Raw genomic sequence first — 27,390 nt, 5'->3', positions numbered from 1 at the left:
GAGTAGTTCATGAGAAAAGAGGTTTAATTCACTCATGGTTTTGAAGGCTGTACAGGAAGCATAGCAGCATCTGCTTCTGGGAGGCCTCAGGAAGCTTCCAATGATGGCAGAAGGCAGGGGGTGCAGGCAGGTCACATGGGAAAAGCAGGAGGAGGAGAGCAAGGGAGGAGGGGCCACAAACTTTTAAATGAGCAGATCTTGCAAGAACTCACTATCATGAGGACCGTACCAAGATGGATGATGCTAAACCATTCATAAGAAAGCCACCCCTATGATCCAATCACCTCCCACAAGGTTCCACTTCCAACAATGGGGATTACCTTTCAATATGAGATGTGGGTGAGGACAAACATCCAAACTATATCAACAAGCATTTAATTATTAAATTTTGAATTACAATTATGCTTTAAAGAAAGAAGTGTCAGGAACCTCGGTAGGTAGGCAGCCAAGATGGCCGAATAGGAACAGCTCCGGTCTACAGCTCCCAGCGTTAGTGACGCAGAAGATGGGTGATTTCTGCATTTCCATCTGAGGTACCGGGTTCATCTCACTAGGCAGTGCCAGAGAGTGGGCGCAGGACAGTGGGTGCAGTGCACCGTGTGTGAGCCAAAGCAGGGCGAGGCATTGCCTCACCCAGGAAATACAAGGGATCAGGGAGTTCCCTTTCCTAGTCAAAGAAAGGGGTGACAGACAGCACCTGGAAAATTGGTTCACTCCCACCCTAATACTGCGCTTTTCCAACGGGCTTAAAAAACCGCGCACCAGGAGATTATATCCCGCACCTGGCTTAGAGGGTCCTATGCCCATGGAGTCTCGCTGATTGCTAGCACAGCAGTCTGAGATCACACTGCAAGTCGGCAGCAAGGCTGGGGGAGGGGCGCCCGCCATTGCCCAGGCTTGCTTAGGTAAACAAAGCAGCCTGGAAGCTCGAACTGGGTGGAGCCCACCACAGCTCAAGGAGGACTGCCTGCCTCTGTAGGCTCCACCTCTGGGGGCAGGGCACAGACAAACAAAAAGACAACAGTAACCTCTGCAGACTTAAATGTCCCTGTCTGACAGCTTTGAAGAGAGCAGTGGTTCTCCCAGCACGCAGCTTGAGATCTGAGAACGGGCAGACTGCTTCCTCAGTGGGTCCCTGACCCCTGACCTCTGAGCAGCCTAACTGGGAGGCACCCCCAGTAGGGGGAGACTGACACCTCACATGGCCGGGTACTCCTCTGAGACAAAAATTCCAGAGGAACGATCAGGCAGCAGCATTCACAGTTCACGAAAATCCGCTGTTCAGCAGCCACCGCTGTGGATACCCAGGCAAACAGGGTCTGGAGTGGACCTCTAGCAAACTCCAACAGACCTGCAGCTGAGGGTCCTGTCTGTTAGAAGGAAAACTAACAAACAGAAAGGACATCCACACCAAAAACCCATCTGTACATCACCATCATCAAAGACCAAAAGTAGATAAAACCACAAAGAGGGGGAAGAAACAGAGCAGAAAAACTGGAAACTCTAAAAAGCAGAGGGCCTCTCCTCCTCCAAAGGAATGCAGTTCCTCACCAGCAACAGAACAAAGCTGGACGGAGAATGATGAGTTGAGAGAAGAAGGCTTCAGATGATCAAACTACCCCGAGCTACAGGAGGAAATTCAAACCAAAGGCAAAGAAGTTAAAAACTTTGAAAAAAATTTAGACGAAAGTATAACTAGAATAACCAATACAGAGAAGTGCTTAAAGGAGCTGATGGAGCTGAAAGCCAAAGTTCAAGAACTACAGGAAGAATGCAGAAGCCTCAGGAGCCGATGCAATCAACTGGAAGAAATGGTATCAGTGATGAAAGATGAAATGAATGAAATGAAGCAAGAAGGGAAGTTTAGAGAAAAAAGAATAAAAAGAAATGAACAAAGCCTCCAAGAAATATGGGACTATGTGAAAAGACCAAATCTACATCTGATTGGTGTACCTGAAAGTGATGGGGAGAATGGAACCAAGCTGGAAAACACTCTGCAGGATATTATCCAGGAGAACTTCCCCCACCTAGCAAGGCAGGCCAAGATTCACATTCAGGAAATACAGAGAACGCCACAAAGATACTCCTCAAGAAGAGCAACCCCAAGACAAATAATTGTCAGATTCACCAAAGTTGAAATGAAAGAAAAAATGTTAAGGGCAGCCAGAGAGAAAGGTCGGGTTACCCTCAAAGGGAAGCCCATCCAGACTAACAGCTGATCTCTCTGCAGAAACTCTACAAGCCAGAAGAGAGTGGGGGCCAATATTCAACATTCTTAAAGAAAAGAATTTTCAACCCAGAATTTCATATCCAGCCAAACTAAGCTTCATAAGTGAAGGAGAAATAAAATACTTTACAGACAAGCAAATGCTGAGAGATTTTGTCACCACCAGGCCTGCCCTAAAAGAGCTCCTGAAGGAAGCACTAAACATGGAAAGGAACAACCGGTACCAGCCACTGCAAAATCATGCCAAATTGTACAGACCATCCAGGCTAGGAAGAAACGGCATCAACTAACGAGCAAAATCACCAGCTAACATCATAATGACAGGATCAAATTCACACATAAAAATATTAACTTTAAATGTAAATGGACTAAATGCACCAATTAAAAGACACAGACTGGCAAATTGGATAAAGAGTCAAGACCCATCAGTGTGCTGTATTCAGGAAACCCATCTCACGTGCAGAGACACACATAGGCTCAAAATAAAGGGATAGAGGAAGATCTACCAAGCAAATGGAAAACAAAAAAAGGCAGGGGTTGCAATCCTAGTCTCTAATAAAACAGACTTTAAACCAACAAAGATCTAAAGAGACAAAGAAGGCCATTACCTAATGGTAAAGGGATCAATTCAACAAGAAAAGCTAACTATCCTAAATATATATGCACCCAATACAGGAGCACCCAGATTCATAAAGCAAGTCCTGAGTGACCTACAAAGAGACTTAGACTCCCACACAATAATAATGGGAGACTTTAACACCCCACTGTCAACATTAGACAGATCAACAAGACAGAAAGTTAACAAGGATACCCAGGAATTGAACTCAGCTCTGCACCAAGCAGACCTAATAGACATCTACAGAACTCTCCACCCCAAATCAACAGAATATACATTCTTTTCAGCACCACACCACACCTGTTCCAAAATTGATCACATACTTGGAAGTAAAGCTCTCTTAGCAAATGTAAAAGAACAGAAATTATAACAAACTGTCTCTCAGACCACAGTGCAATCAAACTAGAACTCAGGATTAAGAATCTCACTGAAAACAGCTCAACGACATGGAAACTGAAGAACCTGCTCCTGAATGACTACTGGGTACATAACGAAATGAAGGCAGAAATAAAGATGTTCTTTGAAACCAACGAGAACAAAGACACAACATACCAGAATCTCTGGGACACATTCAAAGTGGTGTGTAGAGGGAAATTTATAGTACTAAATGCCCACAAGAGAAAGCAGGAAAGATCTAAAATTGACACTCTAACATCACAATTAAAAGAACTAGAAAAGCAAGAGCAAACACATTCAAAAGCTAGCAGAAGGCAAGAAATAACTAAAATCAGAGCAGAACTGAAGGAAATAGAGACACAAAAAACCCTTCAAAAATTAATGAATCCAGGAGCTGGTTTTTTGAAAGGATCAACAAAATTGATAGACCACTAGCAAGACTAATAAAGAAGAAAAGAGAGAAGAATCAAATAGACACAATAAAAAAGGATACAGGGGATATCACCACCAATCCCAAAGAAATACAAACTACCATCAGAGAATACTACAAACACCTCTATGCAAATAAACTAGAAAATCTAGAAGAAATGGATAAATTCCTTGACACATACACCCTCCCAAGACTAAACCAGGAAGAAGTTGACTCTCTGAACAGACCAATAACAGACTTTGACATTGTGGCAATAATCAGTAGCTTACCAACAAACAGAGTCCAGGACCAGATGGATTCACAGCGAAATTCTACCAGAGGTACAAGGAGGAACTGGTACCATTCCTTCTGAAACTATTCCAATCAATAGAAAAAGAGGGAATCCTCCCTAACTCATTTTATGAGGCCAGCATCATCCTGATACCAAAGGCTGGCAGTGACACAACCAAAAAAGAGAATTTTAGACCAATATCCTTGATGAACATTGATGCAAAAATCCTCAATAAAATACTGGCAAACCGAATCCAGCAGCACATCAAAAAGCTTATCCACCATGATCAAGTGGGCTTCATCCCTTGGATGCAAGGCTGGTTCAATATACGCAAATGAATAAATGTAATCCAGCATATAAACAGAACCAAAGACAAAAACCACGATTATCTCAATAGATGCAGAAAAGCCTTTGACAAAATTCAACAACGCTTCATGCTAAAAACTCTCAATAAATTAGGTATTAATGGGACGTATCTCAAAATAATAAGAGCTATCTATGACAAACCCACAGCCAATATCATACTGAATGGGCAAAAACTGGAAGCATTCCCTTTGAAAACTGGCACAAGACAGGGATGCCCTCTCTCACCACTCCTATTCAACATAGTGTTGGAAGTCCTGGCCAGGGCAACCAGGCAGGAAAAGGAAATAAAGGGTATTCAGTTAGGAAAAGAGGAAGTCAAATTGTCCCTGTTTGCAGATGACATGATTGTATATCTAGAAAACCCCATTGTCTCAGCCCAAAATCTCCTTAAGGTGATAAGCAACTTCAGCAAAGTCTCAGGATACAAAATCAATGTACAAAAATCACAAGCATTCTTATACACCAATAACAAACAGAGAGCCAAATCATGAGTGAACTCCCATTCACAATTGCTTCAAAGAGAATAAAGTATCTAGGAATCCAACTTACAAGGGATGTGAAGGACCTCTTCAAGGAGAACTACAAACCACTGCTCAATGAAATAAAAGAGGATACAAACAAATGGAAGAACATTCCATGCTCATGGGTAGGAAGAATCAATATCGTGAAAATGGCCATACTGCCCAAGGTAATTTATAGATTCAATGCCATCCCCATCAAGCTACTAATGACTTTCTTCACAGAATTGGAAAAAACTACTTTAAAGTTCATATGGAACCAAAAAAGAGCCCGCATCAGCAAGTCAATCCTAAGCCAAAAGAACAACACTGGAGGCATCACGCTACCTGACTTCAAACTATACTACAAGTCTACAGTAACCAAAACAGCATGGTACTGGTACCAAAACAGAGATATAGATCAATGGAACAGAACAGAGCCCTCAGAAATAACACCGTGTATCTACAACTATCTGATCTTTGACAAACCTGACAAAAACAAGCAATGGGGAAAGGATTCACTATTTAATAAATGGTGCTGGGAAAACTGGCTAGCCATATGTAGAAAGCTGAAACTGGATCCCTTCCTTATACCTTATACAAAAATTAATTCAAGATGGATTAAAGACTTAAATGTTAGACCTAAAACCATAAAAACCCTAGAAGAAAACCTAGGCTTTACCATTCAGGACATAGGCATGGGCAAGGACTTCATGTCTAAAACACCAAAAGCAATGGCAACAAAAGCCAAAATTGACAAATGGGATCTAATTAAACTAAAGAGCTTCTGCACAGCAAAAGAAACTACCATCAGAGTGAACAGGCAACCTACAAAATGGGAGAAAATTTTCGCAACCTACTCATCTGACAAAGGGCTAATATCCAGAATCTACAATGAACTCAAACAAATTTACAAGAAAAAAACAAACAACCCCATCAAAAAGTGGGCGAAGGACATGAACAGACACTTCTCAAAAGAAGACATTTATGCAGCCAAAAAACACATGAAAAAATGCTCACCATCACTGGCCATCAGAGAAATGCAAGTCAAAACCACAATGAGATACCATCTCACACCAGTTAGAATGGCAATCATTAAAAAGTCAGGAAACAACAGGTGCTGGAGAGGATGTGGAGAAATAGGAACACTTTTACACTGTTGGTGGGACTGTAAACTAGTTCAACCATTGTGGAAGTCAGTGTGGAGATTCCTCAGGGATCTAGAACTAGAAATACCATTTGACCCAGCCATCCCATTACTGGATATATACCCAAAGGATTATAAATCATGCTGCTATAAAGACACATGCACAGGTATGTTTATTGCAGCTCTATTCACAATAGCAAAGACTTGGAACCAACCCAAATGTCCAACAATGATAGACTGGATTAAGAAAATGTGGCACATATACACCATGGAATACTATGCAGCAATAAAAAATGATGAGTTCATGTCCTTTGTAGGGACATGTATGGAATTGGAAATCATCATTCTCAGTAAACTATCGCAAGAACAAAAAACCAAACACCGTATATTCTCACTCATAGGTGGGAATTGAACAGTGAGATCACATGGACACAGGAAGGGGAACATCACACTCTGGGGACTGTTGTGGGCTGCGGGGAGCGGGGAGGGATAGCATTAGGAGATATACCTAATGCTAAATGACGAGTTAATGGGTGCAGCACACCAGCATGGCACATGTATACATATGTAACTAACCTGCACATTGTACAGATGTACCCTAAAACTTAAAGTATAATAATAATAAAATAAAATAAAAAAAGAAAGAAGTGTCAGGCCTCTGAGCCCGAGCTAAGCCATCATACCCCTGTGACCTGCAGGTATATATCCAGGTGGCCTGAAGCAACTGAACATCCAGAAAAGAAGTGAAAATAGCCAGTTCCCACCTTAACTGATGACATTCCACCATTGTGATTTGTTCCTGCCCCATCCTAACTGATCAATTGACTTTGTGACAATACACCCTCCCCGCCCTTGGGATAATGTAGTTTGTGATATTCCCCTGACCTCCCGTGAATGTACTTGGTATGGTCCACCCTCCCCACCCTTGAGAAGGTACTTTGTAATATTCACCCCACCCTTGAGAATGTACTTTGTAAGATCCACCACCTGCCTGCAAAAAATTGCTCCTAACTCCACCACCTATCCCAAACCTATAAGAACTAATGATAATCCCACCACTCTTTGCTGACTCTCTTTTTGGACTCAGTCCACCTGCACCCAGGTGATTAAAAAGCTTTATTGCTCACACAAAGCCTGTTTGGTGGTCTCTTCACACGGATGTGCTTGACAGGAAGAATATAGGTAGATATTTCAAATTTTTAAAAAAGTTGATACTTCATCTTGGCCTCAAAAGATGGGAGGAATTTGGATAGATGAAGGGAAGAGGGGAATGATATTCCTGGATAGAACAACTGAATTTAGGTGGAGAACAAGAATGACCTTTGGGGTCTGGGAATAATGGTATACATGACTGGGCAGATAGGGAGAGGCCAGCCATAGATAGGTTTGAAACCTAGGCAGAAGAAGTTGAACCAGAGGTGACTGGAATTAGTGAATCACTGTGTGTGAATATGTGTGTGCATGTATGTGTGTATCCTTTATAAAATTAAAGAAATATTTTTTTCCAGCTGTATTATGTAGATTAAATGGGATAAAGAGTGTAAAGCACTTATCCCAGTTCCTGGCCTGTATTAAGCAGTCACTAATTAGTAGCCATTATTACTAAATTAGTGATAACAGCAGAGAAAGATTTGCCTTGAATTAAAAAAAATTATTTTCTTTTTATGTGTATAAATTTATGGGGTACAAGTGTAATTTTTTTAAATGCATACATTGTGTAATGGTAATGTCAGGGCTTTTAGGATATCCATCACCCAAATAAAATACATTGTACCCGTTAAGTAATCTCTCATCATCTACCCACTCCCACCCCCCTCACCTATACAAATTTTCGTTGTCTATCATTCCACTCCCTATGTCCATGTGTACATATTATTTAGCTCCTGCGTATAAGTGGCTTTCTGTGTCTGACTTGCTTCACTTATGATAATTTGCCTTGAATTTTTAATTTGGACAAATAGACTAATTCTGGGTTATCTATACAAGGTCTATCTAATTTGTCTTTATAAAGTTGAATATAGTTTAACCGATAATACTATTGATGAAGACAAACACCTAAGATCTTACATAAAAATGAGCAGACCCCACATATACTCCAGCAAAGAAAATGTGTTATTTTAATGGCGTCACCATTGATGGAGTTAAAAATAATCACATGAAAAAGTTTTCAGTCTACTATTTCATTAAAAATGTGCTATTTGTGACTCTACAGAATCCAGTTATAGCTTTATGATTCCCCATGGAGGCTATTTCACTAAAACTCAGTTGGTATTAAAAAAGGCATTTCCCAGAGGGATAAACAGAGAAGGCATAATAGCCTCTGCAAGATCCTCTATAAATTTCAAAGGTATGAGAATGCCTGGAAGGTTTTTGTTTTGCTTTGTTTTGGGTTTTTTTTTGGTGATAATAGGGGAGGCAGAGTGTAAATAAACTGTAACTCAAGAAGCTTTCAGTTCTTTAACATTAAAAAATCCAGCTAAGTATAGTGTACCAATATCATTAGTACAATATATTCCACGCTAACTATTCTTCAAGCTGTTTATATGAGTTAATGGTGCAACTTATAATTAAATATTATTCTAGATGAAGACAACAAGGCCAAAGTTCTAAATAAGCTAGATGTGGATGGAGAGGTCTGAGCCACAGGGCTTCTGTAGAGGGAAGGACTAAAAAGTTTAGGAGGAAAGAAAAGAGGAACAGAAAGCAAGAACAGAGGAGAAAAACATGATTCAAGTCCTTTGAAGATTTTAAAGTCAAGAGTTTAAATTTAAAATAAAACAGAAGCCAGTTAAATTCATGTACACAGTTTGCATTATTGCAAACATAGAAAACACTTCTTTTGTGCAACAGCCTGGACCTGCTCCATCTAATTAACAGAAAGAAAGGTCATACTCACACACAGAGAAAGGCACTACTTTTGTTGCTGAATAGCTGGGTTAATCTTTTAACAAAGTATTATATTTTTCTAATTCCCTTTGCCCTTAAGCCTTGGAATTAACCAGACTTCCAGCCATGTGTTCTCTCCTCTTCATCTCCCTTTTCCTTTTCCCTCTGCCTGGGCCTGCAATTCCAGACATTCCATGCTACCTTCCACGCCCCTTACACAATCATCCATCTTAACTAGGGCTTTGTGGACAGAGCCATTCTTAGCCTGTGGTCTTTGCAGCCTGCTGCCAAAACCCTTTCCCACCTGATGGCCTTTATGCAACTTGGGACACACACTGAGTTTCTAGAAATAGCATTAATTTTAGGTGAAAGTGCATTGAGTTGTTTTTTTTGTTTTTTTTTTTTTTTTTTTTTTTTTTTTTGAGACAGGCCTCACTGTGTCATACAGGCTGGAGTACAGTAATGCTATCATAGCTCACTGCAGCCTCCAACTTCTGGGCTCAAGGTGAGGTAGGAGAATAGGATCTGGAGGCAGGGCACTTAAGGCCAATTCGTGCTGACTTCCTAAAGCTGTACCAAGGAAAAACATCAAGGTCTGGGGGCAGGGAATCTGAGGCCAATTTGTGCTGATTTCCTAAAGCTAAATCAAGGAAGAACACAAAGGTCTGGGGATAGGGAATCTAAGGCCAATTCATGCTGACTGTCCAAAGCTGGATCAAAACGAAAACACCTGGGCCTGGGGGCAGGGAGCCTAAGGCCAATCAACACCAACTTCCAAAAGCTAAACCAAAAGGAAAGACCCCATCTCCTCACACCAAGTAGCAAAGGATCAAAGGCTACTCTCCCTGCAACCCTCCCCCTTCCCCAGGGCTCAGATGGAAAGGGAGAGTGCCTTGGATTTGGGCCAAGTGTGGGCCATCACTTCATCTTCATAGGGCGCCAATTCACATCAGCCCTTAACTAGCCACAGACAAAATCCTTCATTCAGATAAGGGGCAGCCGCTAGGGACCTCAAAAGGAGTACTTAAAACCCAGAAAACGTTGTCACTGGGTCCTTATTCAGGGTGGGCCCACTCCCACACTGTGGAATGCTTTCTTGCTTTAATCCCTGCTTTTGCTGCTTCGTTCCTGTGTTTCATTCCTTTGTTACTTTGTGCGTTTTGTTCAATTCTTTGTTCAAAATGCCAAGGACCTGGACAACTCACACTTGGCCTTCCTTCTGGTAACAAAGGGATTGTCCTGCCTCAGCCTCCCAAGTAGCTGGGACTAAAGGGGCATGTCATCACACCTGGTTGATTTTTAAATTTTCTGGACTCCTGGCTCAAGGAATCTTCCTGCCTGGCCTCCCAAAGCGCTGAAATTACAGGTGTGAGCCACCATGCCTGGCCTGCACTGAGTATTTTGAGTGCAAGTCACTATTTGCCATTCCAGTTGGCAAAGTACACTATGACAAGCTATGCTCCTTGGGCATTTTAGTTTACAGTATAGATATTCTGAGACGCAAGTGTCAACTCTTGCCTTTCTTGAGGACAATTAGCTAAAAACTAGTTGTGATCAGTTCGTTTTGGTTTGTTTGGACCAACTATTTGCTCAAGTGGAAGGTGTCAGACCTCTGAGCCTAAGCTAAGCTATCACATCCCCTGTGACCTGCACATACATATCCAGATGGCCAGTTCCTGCCTTAACTAATGACATTCCACCACAAAAGAAAATAGCCTGTTCCTGCCTTAACTGATGGCATCATCTTGTGAAATTCCTTCTCCTGGCTCATCCTGACTCAAAAGCTCCCCTACTGAGCACCTTGTGACCCCCACTCCTGCCTGCCAGAGAACCCCCCCTTTTTCCTTTACCTACCCAAATCCTATAAAACGGCCCCACCCCATCTCCCTTCATTGACTCTTTTCGGACTCAGCCCACCTGCACCCAGGTGAAATAAACAGCTTTATTGCTCACACAAAGCCTGTTTGGTGGTCTCTTCACACGGATGCAAGTGAAATTTGGTGCCATGACTCGGATAGGGGGACCTCCTTTGGGAGATCAATCCCCTGTCCTCCTGCTCTTTGCTCCGTGAGAAAGATCCATCTACGACCTCTGGTCCTCAGACCAACCAGCCCAAGGAACATCTCACCAATTTTAAATCCGGTAAGCGGCCTCTTTTCACTCTCTTCTCCAACCTCTCTCTCTATCCCTCAACCTCTTTCTCCTTTCAATCTTCGTGCCACGCTTCAATCTGTCCCTTCTCTTAATTTCAATTCCTTTCATTTTCTGGTAGGGACAAAGGAGACACGTTTTATCTGTGGACCGACCCAAAACTCTGGCGCCGGTCATGGACTAGGGAAGGCAGCCTTCCCTTGGTGTTTAATCATTGCAGGGATGCCGCCTCTCTGATTATTCACCCAGGTTTCAGAGGTGTCAGACCACACAAGGACGCCTGCCTTAGTCCTTCAACCCTTAGCAACAAGTCCCGCTTTTCTGGAGGAGGGGTAGGAACACTGACCTCTTATCTCTGCGCCCCGACCTCTTATCTCTGTGCCCCATCCCTTATTTCTATGCCCCGCCTTTTTATCTCTGTGCCCCAACCCCTTATTTCCACACCCCAACCCCTTCTCTGCTTTTCTGGAAGGCAAGAACCCCCCACCCCTTCTCCGTGTCTCTACTCTTTTCTCTGGGCTTGCCTCCTTCACTATGGGCAAGCTTCCACCTTCCATTCCTCCTTCTTCTCCCTTAGCCTGTGTTTTTAAGAACTTAAAACCTCTTCAACTCTCACCTGACCTAAAATCTAAGTGTCTTATTTTCTTCTGCAATGCCGCTTGACCCCAATACAAACTCGACAGTAGTTCCAAATAGCCAGAAAACAGCACTTTCAATTTTTCCATCCTACAAGATCTAAATAATTCTTGTCGTAAAATAGGCAAATGGTCTGAGGTGCCTAACGCCCAGGCATTCTTTTACACATCGGTCCCTCCCCCTAGTCTCTGTTCCCAATGCAACTCACCCCAAATCTTCCTTCTTTCCCTCCCACCAGTCTCCTCAGTCCCAACCCCAAGCGTCGCTGAGTCTTTCTAATCTTCCTTTTCTACAGACCCATCTGACCTCTCCCCTCCTCGCCAGGCCGAGCTAGGTCCTAATTCTTCCTCAGCCTCCGCTCCTCCACCCTATAAATCTTTTATCATCTCCCCTCCTCACACCTGGTCCGGCTTACAGTTTCATTCCGTGACTAGCCCTCCCCCACCTGCCCAGCAATTTACTCTTAAAAAGGTGGCTGGAGCTAAAGGCATAGTCAAGGTTAATGCTCCTTTCTCTTTATCTCAAATCAGATAGCGTTTAGGCTCTTTTTCATCAAATATAAAAATCCAGCCCAGTTCATGGCTCGTTTGGCAGCAACCCTGAGACGCTTTACAGCCCTAGACCCTAAAAGGTCAAAAGGCCGTCTTATTCTCAATATACATTTTATTACCCAATCTGCTCCCGACATTAAATAAAACTCCAAAAACTAAATTCCAGCCCTCAAACCCCACAACAGGACTTAATTAACCTCGCCTTCAAGGTGTACAATAATAGAGGCAGCCAAGTAGCAACATTTCTGAATTGCAATTCCTTGTCTCCACTGCGAGACAAACCCCAGCCACATCTCCAGCACACAAGAACTTCCAAACATCAAAACCACAGTGGCCAGGGGTTCCTCCAGAACCGCCTCCCCCAGGAGCTTGCTACAAGTGCCAGAAATCTGGCCACCAGGCCAAGGAATGCCCGCAGCCCAGGATTCCTCCTAAGCCGTGTCCCATCTGTGAAGGACCCCACTGGAAATCGGACTGTTCAACTCACCTGGCAGTCACTCCCAGAGCCCCTGGAACTCTGGCCCAAGGCTCTCTGACTGACTCCTTCCCAGATCTTCTCAGCTTAGCGGCTGAAGACTGATGCTGTCCGATCTCCTCGGAAGCCCCGTAGAACATCACGGACGCCAGGCTTTATGTAACTCTCACAGTGGAGGGTAAGTCCATCCCCTTCTTAATACGGAGGCTACCCACTCCACATTACCTTCTTTTCAAGGGCCTGTTTCCCTTGCCTCCATAACTGGTAGGTATTGACAGCCAGGCTTCCTAAACCTCTTGAAACTCCCCAACTCTGGTGCCAACTTAGACAATACTCTTTTAAGCACTCCTTTTTAGTTATCCCCACCAGCCCAGTTCCCTTATTAGGCCGAGACACTTTAACTAAATTATCTGCTTCCCTGACTATTCCTGGACTACAGCTACATCTCATTGCCACCCTTCTTCCCAATCCAAAGCCTCCTTTGGGTCCTCTTCTTGTATCCCCCCACCTTAACCCACAAGTATAAGATACCTTTACTCCCTCCTTGGTGACCGATCATGCACCACTTACCATCTCATTAAAACCTAATCACCCTTACCCGCTCAATGCCAATATCCCATCCCACACCATGCTTTGAAAGGATTAAAGCCTGTTATCACTCGCCTGCTACAGCATGGCCTTTTAAAACCTATAAACTCTCCTTACAATTCCATTTTACCTGTCCTAAAACCAGATGATCCTTACAAGTTAGTTCGGGATCTATGCCTTATCAACCAAATTGTTTTGCCTATCCACCCCACGGTGCCAAACCCATATACTCTCCTATCCTCAATAGCTCCCTCCACAATCCATTATTCTGTTCTGGATCTCAAACATGCTTTCTTTACTCTTCCTTTGCACCCTTCATCCCAGCCTCTCTTTGCTTTCACCTGGACTGACCCTGACACCCATCAAGCTCAGCAAATTACCTGGGCTGTACTGCCGCAAAGCTGCACAGACAGATCCCATTACTTCAGTCAAGCCCAAATTTCTTCCTCATCTGTTACCTATCTCAGCATAATTCTCATAAAAACACATGTGCTCTCCCTGCTGGTAGTGTCCGGCTAATCTCCCAAACCCCAATCCCTTCTACAAAACAACTCCTTTCCTTCCTAGGCATAGTTGGATACTTTCACCTTTGGATACCTGGTTTTGCCATCCTAACAAAACCGTTATATAAACTCACAAAAGGAAACCTAGCTGACCCCATAGATCCTAAATCCTTTCTCCACTCCTCTTTCCATTCCTTGAAGACAGCTTTAGAGACTGCCCCCACCCTAGCTCTTGCTGACTCATCCCAACCCTTTTCATTACACACAGCAGAAGTGCAGGGCTGTGCAGTTGGAATTCTTACACAAGGACTGGGATCGCATCCTGTAGGCTTTTTGTCCAAACAACTTGACCTTACTGTTTTAGGATGGCCATCATGTCTCCGTGCAGCAGCTGCTGCCACCCTAATACTTTTAGAGGTCCTTATAATCACAAACTATTCTCAACTCACTCTCTACAGCTCTCATAATTTCCAAAATCTATTTTCTTCCTCACACCTGATGCATATACTTTCTGCTCCCCGGCTCCTTCAGTTGTACTCACTCTTTGTTGAGTCTCCCACAATTACCATTGTTCATGGCCCGGACTTCAATCCAGCCTCCCACATTATTCCTGATACCACACCTGACCTTCATGACTGAATCTCTCTGATCCACCTGATGTTCACCCCATTTCCCCTCATTTCCTTCTTCCCTGTTTCTCACCCTGATCGCACTTGGTTTATTGATGGCAGTTCCACCAGGCCTAATCACCACACACCAGCAAAGGCAGGCTATCCTATATTACAAGCCACTAGTCCGCCTCTTAGAACCTCTCATTTCCTTTCCATCGTGGAAATCTATCCTCAAGGAAATAACATCTCAGTGTTCCATCTGCTATTCTACTACTTCTCGGATTATTCAGGCCCCTTCCCTTCCCTAAACATCAAGCTCAGAGATTTGCCCCCACCCAGGACTAGCAAATTAGCTTTACTTAACATGCCCCAAGTCAGGAAACTAAAATACCTCTTGGTCTATGTAGACACTTTCACTTGATAGGAAGATACCTTTCCCACAGGGTCTAAGAAGGCCACCACGGTCATTTCTTCCCTTCTGTCAGACACAATTACTCGGTTTGGCCTTCCCACCTCTACGCAGTCCGATAGTAGACTGGCCTTTATTAGTCAAATCAGCCAAGCAGTTTTTCAGGCTCTTGGTATTCAGTGAAACTTTTATATCCCTTACAGTCCTCAGTCTTCAGGAAAAGTAGAACGGACTAATGGTCTTTTAAAAACACACTTCACTAAGCTCAGCCACCAACTTAAAAAGGACTGGACAATACTTTTACCTCTTTCTTTTCTCAGAATTCAGGCCTGTCCTCGGAATGCTACAAGGTACAGCCCATTTGAGCTCCTGTGTGGACGCTCCTTTTTATTTAGCCCCAGTCTCATTCCAGACACCAGACCAACTTAGATTTTGCCCCCAAAATCTTGTCATCCCTACTATCTTCTGTCTAGTCATACTCCTATTCACCATTCTCAACTACTTATACATGCTCTGCTCTTGTTTACACTGCTGGTTTACATTGTTTCTCCAAGCCATCACAGCTGATATCTCCTGGTGCTATCCCCAAACTGCCACTCTTAACTCTTGAAGTAAATAAATAATCTTTGCCGGCAGGACTATGCTGAATCTCCTTAGGCACTCTCTAATCAGATGTCCTAGGTCCTCCCAATTCTTAGACCTTTAATACCTGTTTTTCTCCCTCTCTTATTCCATTTAGTTTCTCAATTCATATAAAACTGTATCCAGGCCATCACCAATAATTCTAAATGACAAATGTTTCTTCTAACAGTCCCATAATGTCACCCCTTACCACAAAGTCTTCCTTCAGCTTAATCCCTCCCACTCTAAGTTCTCATGACGCCCCTAATCCCGCTCGAAGCAGCCCTGAGAAACATCCCCCATCATCTCTCCATACCATCCCCCAAAATTTTCACCGTCCCAACACTTTACCACTATTTCGTTTTATTTTTCTTATTAATATAAGAAAGGAATGTCAGGCCTCTGAGCCCAAGCTAAGCCATCATATCCCCTGTGACCTGTGTACACATCCAGATGGCCAGTTCCTGCCTTAACTGATGACATTCCACCACAAAAGAAATGAAAATAGCCTGTTCCTGCCTTAACTGATGGCATTATCTTGTGAAATTCCTTCTCCTGGCTCATCCTGGCTCAAAAGCTCCCCTACTGAGCACCTTGTGACCCCCCCACTCCTGCCTGCCAGAGAACAACCCCCCTTTTTCCTTTACTTACCCAAATCCCATAAAACGGCCCCACCCCTATCTCCTTTCGCTGACTCTCTTCTCAGACTCAGCCCACCTGCACCCAGGTGAAATAAACAGCTTTATTGCTCACACAAAGCCTGTTTGGTGGTCTCTTCACACAGATGCAAGTGAAAGAAGGAGCCTGCCTGCAACCTTCCAGGTCAGTTACCTCTTTGCAAGCTCTCCAGCCCTGCCATAAAATGAAACCATTTGCAATAGTTGCTACATCATAGCTTGCTCGGCATCTGCTTTCCTGAGCTCGCTCCAATTGTTCCCTTCATGGGGTCAGGTGAAGTTCGTGTTGCATAGGGACTAGGATCTAGGTATGGTTTCCATCTCACTGGGGCAGCAGGCAGATGCTGAGCGCAGAGGACATGGGTGGTGGCTACACAGCTGCAGAGCAGCCATGACATGCTCTTGGAAACAAAAATAATTGAACACTGAAGTATGTGTAAAAGTACTTTTCCCCTTTGAATCAAGAATATGATCATGAACCTTAGCAAAACAAAGCAATGGAGCTGACTCAGTCTTCTAAACATTGGCCCTGAACCTGAACCTACTATTAAATTGGGCTAAAAGGTTTACAGAGCAAGTGGATTCATTAAAACTGTTTTTTGCTATATTCTCTGTTGTGGCTTTGTCCCAGAGATTTCCAATGCTTCCAGCAGCTTTGGAGTTAGTAACTCTGATATGTTTGCATCTGACTTCTGACCTAAACTTTAGTGTTATTTTCAGCTGTTCTTTGACAGGGAATCCAACAGCTGCTGTTTAATACCACAGACAACTTGTGACACAGGCTGAGTTTCTAGCAATAGGATTAATCTACCAATGTGGGGCACTGATTTGAAGCTGGCTATAATTTTCCTGAACAGGAGGTGGGGGTAGGGAATAAAAAGCCTGAAGCACAGTACTTTCCTTTTTGTTTTTGTTTTTAATTGCAGCAAAATATATGTCTTAATAACTTTTAACCACACAGAAAACATTTTCTTGCTGCAATTAAAAGGTAACAGCAAAGTATTTTGCTTTCTCATGGTATTAATAACTGAACTTGAAAACCTTGTCCAATGGAGCAGAATAGTCACAAAGAAAATCTGAAATGATAGGCACCTATTTATAAATGCTGGTTGAAATATTTTTTAAAAATTCCTAAGAAATCTGAGGCTCTGAGAAAATGTGGCTATTCCATCTAAACTTCATTTAGCAAAGAACAGTAAGTTTTAGAAAAGCAGATTAATCTAAAAATGTGTTTTAAGCAATTTGTGACTTAACCCCAAGACAAATACCAAAACTTTTTTAAAGTACACTTTGGTAGTTCTCTTTGCATCAGAGAGATTTCAAAAATCTTGAAAAGATTGATAACCAGGTCAAAGACTTACTTGTTTCAAAGTCCATGGTTACAATGGCATAGTTTCGGTGGCAAAACTAATTTGGGTTGTCAGGATGTAATTTTTTTTTCCATTTGTTATCAAACATCAGCTGATAAGGAAAGAGCTTGAAGCTGTCCTCCACATTTAAGATAACAGCAAAAATAACAGGCACTTAGTGTCACCATACTAGGGGCGTGGCAATTCTCTCTCGTTCGCTCCTTTCTCTCTCACGATAAACTCAATGGGGTTGTCTATTTTTAACCTCCTGTTCTTTCCTTTTGGCAGAGTAATCAGTGTGAGCTGAGCTCTTTCCCTGAATGAATCCAAGTAACCCTGGCCTTCTGAAATGACCAGCAGACACACAACTGTCCAGAGGCTGCCCAAAGTATAAACTCTGGTTCTAAAGTACCATGTCCAGCCAAGGAAGTCCTAGTGTTGCGCTTTCTACGACGACAGTCAGTTCAGTTGCTGTGCAGGCTGGGGACTCCAAAATCGTTATAGCTGTCATAAAGGTAAGCTAACAACTTCCTTTTTTCTGTGCGGCTGTGGGCTTCTAGCTGTGTGTTGAAAACCCTAAAGAACATTCCATGCAATCGGCAGGACACAGCATAGAGAAGACAACGCAGCAAGCACTCTTACTGCTTTCTAAAATGGGCTACTAAGAGAAACCTCTACAAGTTTCAGCAGTTACCAGAGATTCTCTTTCCTTTCAGTCAGCCAGAAAGCATCTATAGCAGCTTGATTTAAAAAAAAAAAAAAAAAGAAAAGAAAGAAAAATAAAGAAAAGAAAACCTCTAGCATATACTGTCAATTTGGTCTTTAAAAGCAAGGCATTGGTAACTGGAAGTTCATGATTGCCTGACTAAAGAGTCCAATGGACCTGTGGAATGCTTGTGATTTTTGAGAGTGGATGTGATGGAGGTGGGAGGAGGCAGGTCCCGACAGACAGGGGGAGGGCACTGCTTTAAGCACGATGGAACTCAGAAAACACCAAGTAAAGGGCTCCGACATGTGCCCTTTGCCACACTGGTTTTGACATGGTAAAGAAACTACTAAATCCTTGTCCAGTAACGAAGACCATGCAAGGAAAGGTACAAAAGCTTTGTGTCAAATTTGCTCTTAACAGCAGGAAGTAGAAGCCACTTAGGGTTTACAATTACTGCATGTTTTATGACAACCCATTTGCCCATTTGCAAAGATGACCACACATCTTTAGGCTGAAGAAGAACTCCATGATTTTATTCTCCATGGAAATGCCCTGTAAAAAAAAGCTTTCAAGCACTAGGCTTGGGCTTTAGATGATATTCCACCTAAATAATTCAGTGTTTAATGAAGGGAAAGCTGGCAAACAAGCTGATGGTCACAAACCAGTTACTTTCAGGTCCCCACCAGGTTTAATTGAATGACTTTTCTGGCCTTTTGTTAGAGCATGGACAGCAAGCCATGTTTACTTTAACTTAATTGCTGTGAATTTTATGGTAATGTGAAAATTCATACCAGGAAAAGAGCACTTGATACTGAGCAAAACAGTTCACTATAGAAGGACAGAATGGAAAGTATTCCTGCCGAGGTGGATTTTCTGGTGTTGTGAGACTTCTCTCCCACAGGAACCAGGCCTCTGCTGACTTCCTCACCCTCCCATCTTTTCAGAGTCCCAGAGAGGAGATGAAAAGAAGCCTGATGCAGAAGTAGGGCAAACAGATCATTTGCACGGGATTAATGATACTTTGAGTTAACTGCAGATTTCAGCAATGAGGGAAAAGAGGCAAACTCACTATTTTTCAAAAAGTTAACTTTCCATTTCCTCAAATATGAACATTCTTGGAGCAGGATGAGGAATAATATTAGAGGATAAATTACAGAAGAATCAGAGGTAGATTGAACACAAAAAAATTACACTGGAAATTACACTGGAAAATTACACTGGAAACTCTTATTTTAACTGAATTGTGTTTCTAAGAATGTTCCCCCACTACCCTCTCCTCAGCCCTCTTACCTTACTGCCATCTCCATACAAAATACACCCCAAGCAATTCAGAGTATAAAGTCCACCTTAATGGAATGGAAGTGCCTGTGTGTGATTTATAGTGACTGTCCAAACTGTCTCAGGGGACTGAATATATTCTAAAATAGAAATACATTTTTCTAATTTCTCTTTAGTAATTCAGGTATCTACATGCGTATGCGTGTTAGTGGTTCATTTTGCTTAATGAGTTGTTGCTTCTTAGAAAAGCAATTCCTCAGGAAATGCAATGACAAATTATATCTTAGAGCAGTGTAAATCTTGTGTGGAAAGCAAGTTGACTGTGCTCAAATGGCAGTTGTCACAGGCATCTAATTTTGTTAATATTTTCCTACACGCTTTAATGAATATTCAACAACTAAGGTTGGAAAACAGCATATTTTACCTTTGAAATAAGATAAAAATCAATTTCTTCATCTGATATTTATTATTTTCAGCTAAACCAGCAAGGCCAATGTAAAGACACTAATCAGCCTAAATTGCATTTACAAGAACTTTCCCCATGGTGAAATTTGCATCCTACCTGCCCAAGTGGAATTTCACTATTTTTATTGAGTTCAGTTTTGTGAGTGAGAGAGGATACAGTTGTGTAAATTATTCTGTAACTTTATAATATTCAATAATACGTAATCCATTGTATGTTTTCCTCACTTGGGAATTTTTAACTCAAATCCAATATGCCAAGAGAGAATAATTTATGCTAAGAATAAAAAATAAAAGACAGGGCATGGATTTATATTAGATCTGTTGTGTTTCAATTTAAGTAAACCCCATCTCTATGGAAAGAATGGAAAAAAATAGAAAATAGAAAAAAGTGTTTACAGTATAACTGGAAATTTAAACGATATATTAAAAATGAGAAGGGTGAAGAGGAAGGAACAAGAGGAACTAAAAGTGCATTTTATTTAATTTTTATTTTTAGTGTGGCAAATGGGTACAACTTCAACTGGCTGAATCACAGCCCAATCTTCTAGAAATTGGCAGCAGTCAAGATGAAACCAAAAAACTTCTTCATGATCATGAACTTCTTTTGGCCAAGCTCAAGGTAAGATACTAAGATGTGAAGCAGAAACAAAATTAAAGAGACATAAAAAACTATTTCTTATACTTCTTGATTCCTCTGCTGTTACTGGCCTAGGGCCACTTTAATATGGTACCAGGTAGATAATGGAAAAATCAGTAGTTATTTATGAACAAACAGCATCAGAGAGAAGTAACAATATTTTTAAAAATTTTCCCTAATGTGATAGAAACTATGGAAGGATAATATTTTCACTGTGGAGAAATGAGTAATTTTTTTTTCCTGGCTGCCTCAGTGGGAAAAAAACTCCATCATTTTTTCATTTCATGCATTACACCATCAAGTCACAAAAACAGATCCACAATTTCTATTGTTAATGATACCTGCTGGTAAAAATAATTTAGAAGACTTTTCCCCCGTTGGACTATTGAAAATATCTGATTCTGTGCTTAGTATTAAGAGTTCTTGAAACCAAATAATACTTCTGGTAAAACCAGACATACTATTTTATATATGTTGAGAGTATTTAGTTAGAAATCTAAAAGTAACATTGGTTTGAGGTTGCCAGATAAAGGCCAGGTAAGATCAGAGCCAGCTACATAATCTGTGGGACCCAGGGCAAATACAAATTTGGGGCCATTTGTTCAAAAAGCAAGGAAAAGCTTTTTCTTGACCCATCATGGTGTTTTTTATTCACTACTTAATGTCTGGCTCCTTCATGTGTAAGATGAGTGCAGACCTCACAGGTACATGGCCTCATCCATGACTCAGTGCAAAGGACATGGGTTTTACCCCACCCTTCTTAAGCTTCACCTTGGCCACAGCTCCAGCTATAAGAGGTGGCAACGGTCACTGAGTGGGGCTGCGGAGCAGACAGGACAGCCGACTTATATCCAGGAGATAGGACCACATGTCTGATGAGGTGCCAAGCCCTCAGCACTTGCTCTGTTGTCCCATTGGACTTAATTTACAAAACACAAATGTAAGGCATTTCAACACAGGAACAGGTACAGCATTAAGCCCTAAATGGTGTTCCATTCTGAGGAACCTCTGAGGGAGCCAGCCCTGTGAGTAATAAGCTCATAGACAAATGAAATATCTTCACTAAGATCAAAGAGGTTCAAAGAGATTTAATGCGGATTCAGAGAACTGCAAAGACTAGGATGCTCTGCATTTTTAGTACTTTAATATTACTGTTTTCTTTGTACATCTAGGCTGAAATTCATACTTGCTTTCTAGATTTAGAAGCAGATTTGATCTGCATCTGATATATAGACAGTGGTTTTCTGCTTGGACAGTGGTAAAAGTAACTGAGTAAATGAAACCAAGAAGTTGAAGAAAGAATTAGTACAAAGAAGAAGGCTGTTAGAAGGCAGAATTTATTCCCGTTTGACAGCTCCTTACTCTGGGTTTTAGGTTGTCTTGCAAGGCAGAAGTCCCTAGTTATTGGTAAGTCTTTTCTATGTAGGAAAACCCCATTATGTGTTTTTTGGCTGCATAAATGTCTTCTTTTGAGAAGTGTCTGTTCATGTCCTTCACCCACTTTTTGCCATCAGAGAAATGCAAATCAAAACCACAATGAGATACCATCTCACACCAGTTAGAATGGCAATCATTAAAAAGTCAGGAAACAACAGGTGCTGGAGAGGATGTGGAGAAATAGGAACACTTTTACACTGTTGGTGGGACTGTAAACTAGTTCAACCATTGTGGAAGTCAGCGTGGCGACTCCTCAGGGATCTAGAACTAGAAATACCATTTGACCCAGCCATCCCATTACTGGGTACATACCCAAAGGACTATAAATCATGCTGCTATAAAACATATGCACACGTATGTTTATTGCAGCTCTATTCACAATAGCAAAGACTTGGAGCCAACCCAAATGTCCAACAATGATAGACTAGATTAAGAAAATGTGGCACATATACACCATGGAATACTATGCAGCCATAAAAAATGATGAGTTCATGTCCTTTGTAGGGACATGGATGAAATTGGAAATCATCATTCTCAGTAAACTATGGCAAGAACGAAAAACCAAACACCACATATTCTCACTCATAGGTGGGAATTGAACAATGAGAACACATGAACACAGGAAGGGGAACATCACACTCTGGGGACTGTTGTGGGGTCGAGGGGAGGGGGGAGGGATAGCATTGGGAGATATACCTAATGCTAGATGACGAGTTAGTGGGTGCAGTGCACCAGCATGGCACATGTATACATATGTAACTAACCTGCATATTGTGCACATGTACCCTAAAACTTAAAGTAAAATAATAAAAAAGAAATGAAATATGAAATAAAAATGAAAGTGAAAGAAAAAAAAAGAAAAACCCCATTATGATGTGGAAGAGCAATGAGCCAGGAATAAAAACACCTATTGTTTAGCTCTACTTATGTCACAAACTAGTGTGATTTGGCTAATAACTCAAGGTCTTCCTGCTACACAAAAAGCTGTGTAAACTTGTCACGAATCCCCAATTCCATGAACTGTAGAAACGTAATACTTACTTGAAGTTTCTGACCATTCCCAGAAGTTTGCGTTCTCATGATCTCCTGTGACCCCAGCTCCTTTGTATGCACCTGCCAACTGTTTCTGCTGAAGCTAACCTGGGCTTGAAACCACATCTTTTCCCCAGTTCCTGTTAATAATTCATGCCCAGCCAGCATTTCCCAGTCCACTGATAAATTGTGGGTAGTGGTGGGTGAGCTCACATCAGTTTGGAACTCTTGTGCTACCTCACTTCTCCCTTCATCCCTACTCCATCCAGGACTACAGAAGGGAAATGCCTTCTTAGGTGCAGCAATTCAGCTCCTGCCTCCTACCCTGTGCTCAAATTTGCATACCTAAATCCATCCAGTAGCTTAGCTAGAAAAGGGTTTTCCTGTAGTATAGTTTGAAGTTGGGTAGAGTGATGCCTCCAGCATCATTCTTTTGCTTAGGATTGCCTTGGCTATTCGGGCTCTTCTTTGGTTTCATATGAATTTTAAAATAGTTTTTTCTAATACTGTGAAGAATGTCAATGGTAGTTTAATGGGAATAGTATTGAATCTATAAATTGCTTTGGGCAGCATGGCCATTTTCACAATATTGATTCTTCCTATCCACGAGCATGGAATGTTCTTCCATTTGTTTGTGTCATCTCTGATTTCTTCGAGCAGTGGTTTGTACTTCCCCTTAAAGAGGTCCTTCACTTTTCTTGTTAGTTGTATTCCTAGGTATTTTATTCTTTTTGTGGCAATTGTGAATGGGAGTTCATTTGTGATTTGGGTCTCAGCTTGCCTGTTGTTGGTATATAAGAATGCTAGCGGTTTTTGCACGTTGATTTTGTATCCTGAGACTTTGCTGAAGTAGCTTATTAGTTTCAGAAGCTTTTGGGCTGAGACAGTGGGATTTTTCCTATGTCCTTAGATGTAGGATCATGTCATCTGCAAAGATAGTTTTACTTCCTCTCTTCCTATTCATTTGTTTCTCTTGCCTGATTGCCCTGGCCACAACTTCCAATACTGTGTTGAATAGGCATCCTTGTCTTGTGCTGGTATACGAGGAGAATGCTTCCAGCTTCTGCCCATTCAGTATAATACTGGATGCGGGTTTGTCATATATGGCTTTTGTTATTTTGAGGTATGTTCCTTCAATACCTAGTTTATTCCGAGTTTTTAACATGAAGGGATGTTGAATTTTATCAAAGGCCTTTTGTGTGTCTATTAAGATAATCATGTGGTTTTTGTCTTTAGTTCTGTTTATGTAATGAATCACATTTATTGATTTGCATCTGGGGAATGAAGCCTATTTGATTGTGGTGGATAAGCTTTTTGATGTGCTGCTGGATTTGGTTTACTAGTATTTTGTTGAAGATTTTTGCATCAATGTTCATCAAGGCCTGGAGTTTCCTTTTTTTGTTGTATCTCTGCCAGGTTTTGGCATCAGGATGAGTTAGGGAGGAGTCCCTCCTCCTCAATTTTTGGAATAGTTTCAGTAGGAATGGTACCAGCTCTTCTTTATACCTCTGATAGAAGTCAACTGTGAATCCACCTGGTCCTGGGCTTTTTTTGGTTGGCAGGCTATTTATTACTGCCTCAATTTCAGAACTCATTATTGGCCTATTCAAGGATTCAATTTCTTCCTGGTTCAGTCTTGGGAGGGTACATGTGTCCAGGAATTTATTCATTTTTTCTAGATTTTCTAGTTTATGTGCATAGAGGTGTTTATAGTATTCTCTGATGGTTGTTTGTATTTCTGTTGGGTCAGTTGTACTATCCCCCTTATCATTTCAAACTGTGTTTATTTGATGCTTCTCTCTTTTCTTCTTTATTAGTCTTGCTAGTGGCCTATCATATTTTATTTTATTTTTCTTCAAAAAGCTAGCTTTTAGGATTCATTGATTTTTTTGAAGGTTTTTTTGTGTCTCTATCTCTTTCAGTTCAGCTCTGATCTTGGTTATTTCTTGTCTTCTGCCAGCTTAAGTGGGTTGTTTGCTCTTGATTCTTTCTTTTAGTTGTGATGTTAGGTTGTTAACTTGAGATTTTTCTAGCTTTATGATGTCGGCATTTTAGTGCTATAAATTTCTCACTTCATACTGCTTTAGCTGCATCCCAGAGATTCCGGTCCATTGTGTCTTGGTTCTCATTAGTTTCAAAGAACTTCTTAGGCTGGGCACAGTGGCTTATGCCTGTAATCCCAGCACTTTGGCAGGCCAAGGTGGGTGGATCACCTGAGGTCAGGAATTTGAGACCAGCCTGGCTAACATGGTGAAACCTTGTCTCTATTAAAAATACAAAAATTAGCCAGGTGTAGTGGTGCGTGCCTGTAATCCCAGCTACTTGGGAAGCTGAGGCAGGAGAATTTATTGAACCCAGGAGACAGAGGTTGCAGTAAGCCAAGATTGCACCATTGCACTCCAGCCTGGGCGACAGACGGAGCAAGACTGTCAAAAAAAAGAATTTCTTGATTGATTTCTGCCTTAATTTCATTATTTGCCCAAGAGTCATCCTGGGGCACATTGTTCAATTTTCATTTAGTTGTATGATTTTGACTGAATTTCTTAATCTTGACTTCTAATTTGATTGTGCTATTGTCTGAGAGACTGTTATGATTTCACTTCTTTTGCATTGGCTGAGGAGTGTTTTACTTCAATTATGTGATCAATTTTAAAGTAAGCGCCATGTGGCAATGAGAATAATGTATGTTCTGTTGTTTTGGGGTGGACAGTTCTGTATATGACTATCAGATCCACTTATCCAGAGCTGTACTCAGCTCTGGATCTGAGCCGAATATCTTTTTAAATTTTCTGTCAATGATCTAATATTGTCGGTGTGGTGTTAAAGTCTCCCACGACTATTGTGTGGGGGATCTAAGTCTCTTTGAAGGTCTCTAAGAACTTGCTTTATGAATCTGGGTACTCCTGTATTGGGTACATATATATTTAGGATATTCAGCTCTTCTTGTTGAACTGAAATTTTTACCTTTATGCAATGCTCTTCTTTGTCTTTTTTAGTCTTTGTTGGTTTACAGTCTGTTTTGTCAGAAACTTGGAATGCAAATCTTGCTTTTTCTGTTTTCTATTTGCTTGGCAAATTTTCCTCCATTCCTGTATTTTGAGCCTATGTGAGTCTTTGCATGTGAGATGATCTCTTAAAGACAGCATACCAATGGATCTTGGTTCTTTATCCCGCTTGCCATTCTGTGTCTTTTAATTGGGGCATTTCCATTTACATTTAAGGTTAGTATTGTTATGTGTGGATTTCATCTTGTCATCATGATGCTAGCTGGTTATTTGGCAAAAAAAAAAAAAAAAAAAAAAAAACCCACAACCAACCCGATTAAATAATAGGCAAAGGACATGAACAGACACTTCTCAAAAGAAGACATACATGCAGCCAACAAACATTAAAAAAAGCTCAAAATCACTGATCATTAGAGAAATGTAAATCAAAACCACAATGAGATACCATCTCATACCAGTCAGAATGACTGTTATTATAATGTCAAAAAAACAGCAGACATGGTGAAACCCCGTCTCTATTAAAAATACAAAAAATTAGCTAGGCGTGGTGGTGGGCGCCTGTAGTCCCAGCTACTCTGGAGGCTGAGGCAGGAGAATGGCGTGGAGGCAGGAAAATGGCGTGAACCCAGGAGGCGGAGCTTGCAGTGAGCCGAGATCGCACCACTGCACTCCAGCCTGGGTGACAGAGTGAGACTCTGTCTCAACAAACAAACAAACAAACAAACAAACAAAACAACAGCAGAAGCTGGTGAGGATTTGGAGAAAAGGAATGCTTTTACCATGCTGGTAGGAGTGTAAATTAGTTGAATCATTGTTGAATTGTAGAAGACAGTGTGGCATTTCCTCAAAGACCTAGAGGCAGAAATACCATTCAACCCATCAATCCATTACTAGGTATATACCCAAAGGAATGTAAATCATTCTGTTATAAAGTTATATGCATGAGTATGTTCATTGCAGTACTATTCATGATAGCAAAGACATGGAATCAACCTAAATCCCCATCAATGATAGACTGGATAAAGAAAGTGTGGTACATATATAACATGGAATATGATGTAGCCATAAACAGGAATGAGATCATGTCCTTTGCGGGGACATAGATGGAACTGGAGTCCATTGTCCTTAGCAAACTAACTCAGAAACAGAAAACCAAATACCATGTGTTCTCACTTATAAGGGGGAGCTGAATGATGAGACCACATGGACACAGTTGGGGGAACAACACACACTGGTGCCTGTCAGAGGGTGGGAGGTGGGAGGAGGGAGAGCATCAGGAAGAATACCTAATGGATACTAGGGTTAATACTTGGGTGATGGGATGATCTGTACAGCAAACCACCATAGCACATATTTACCTATGTAACAAACCTGCCCATCCTGCACATTTAGCCCTAAACTTAAAATTAAAGTTGGAAAT

General features: G+C 41.5%; 1 protein-coding gene across 20 annotated transcripts in view, besides 6 other annotated features; it reads left to right on the top strand.

Annotated features, from left to right (window-relative positions):
* Window positions 785-1,285: an enhancer, noted in NCBI's record as "H3K4me1 hESC enhancer chr2:179931204-179931704 (GRCh37/hg19 assembly coordinates)". NCBI's record gives its function as "activates a minimal SCP1, AML or CMV promoter by ChIP-STARR-seq in naive H9 embryonic stem cells {active_cell/tissue: H9 hESC(naive)}" and the evidence as "EXISTENCE:reporter gene assay evidence [ECO:0000049][PMID:30033119]".
* Window positions 8,534-8,803: an enhancer, noted in NCBI's record as "active region_16818". NCBI's record gives its function as "activates an Ori minimal core promoter by ATAC-STARR-seq in GM12878 lymphoblastoid cells {active_cell/tissue: GM12878}" and the evidence as "EXISTENCE:reporter gene assay evidence [ECO:0000049][PMID:35858748]".
* Window positions 9,421-10,025: an enhancer, noted in NCBI's record as "H3K27ac hESC enhancer chr2:179922464-179923068 (GRCh37/hg19 assembly coordinates)". NCBI's record gives its function as "activates a minimal SCP1, AML or CMV promoter by ChIP-STARR-seq in naive H9 embryonic stem cells {active_cell/tissue: H9 hESC(naive)}" and the evidence as "EXISTENCE:reporter gene assay evidence [ECO:0000049][PMID:30033119]".
* Window positions 17,549-17,628: an enhancer, noted in NCBI's record as "active region_16817". NCBI's record gives its function as "activates an Ori minimal core promoter by ATAC-STARR-seq in GM12878 lymphoblastoid cells {active_cell/tissue: GM12878}" and the evidence as "EXISTENCE:reporter gene assay evidence [ECO:0000049][PMID:35858748]".
* CCDC141 (coiled-coil domain containing 141) overlaps window positions 17,625-27,390 on the top strand; it is a 235,160-nt gene continuing 225,394 nt past the window's right edge. For all 20 annotated transcript variants that reach the window (XM_047443998.1, XM_047443994.1, XM_047443993.1 and 17 more), the window contains exons 1-2: window positions 17,625-17,922; window positions 20,356-20,478. In XM_047443998.1, coding sequence (XP_047299954.1) covers window positions 17,821-17,922; window positions 20,356-20,478 — 225 coding nt within the window. In that variant the 5' untranslated portion in view covers window positions 17,625-17,820. The remainder of the gene's footprint in view (window positions 17,923-20,355; window positions 20,479-27,390) is intronic.
* Window positions 17,639-17,888: an enhancer, noted in NCBI's record as "active region_16816". NCBI's record gives its function as "activates an Ori minimal core promoter by ATAC-STARR-seq in GM12878 lymphoblastoid cells {active_cell/tissue: GM12878}" and the evidence as "EXISTENCE:reporter gene assay evidence [ECO:0000049][PMID:35858748]".
* Window positions 18,079-18,128: an enhancer, noted in NCBI's record as "active region_16815". NCBI's record gives its function as "activates an Ori minimal core promoter by ATAC-STARR-seq in GM12878 lymphoblastoid cells {active_cell/tissue: GM12878}" and the evidence as "EXISTENCE:reporter gene assay evidence [ECO:0000049][PMID:35858748]".

Source organism: Homo sapiens, chromosome 2 (assembly GCF_000001405.40).
Source record: "Homo sapiens chromosome 2, GRCh38.p14 Primary Assembly".
Taxonomy (NCBI): domain Eukaryota; kingdom Metazoa; phylum Chordata; class Mammalia; order Primates; family Hominidae; genus Homo; species Homo sapiens.
Note: the sequence above shows the minus strand (reverse complement) of the source record. Positions and strands in the feature narration are given on the sequence as shown.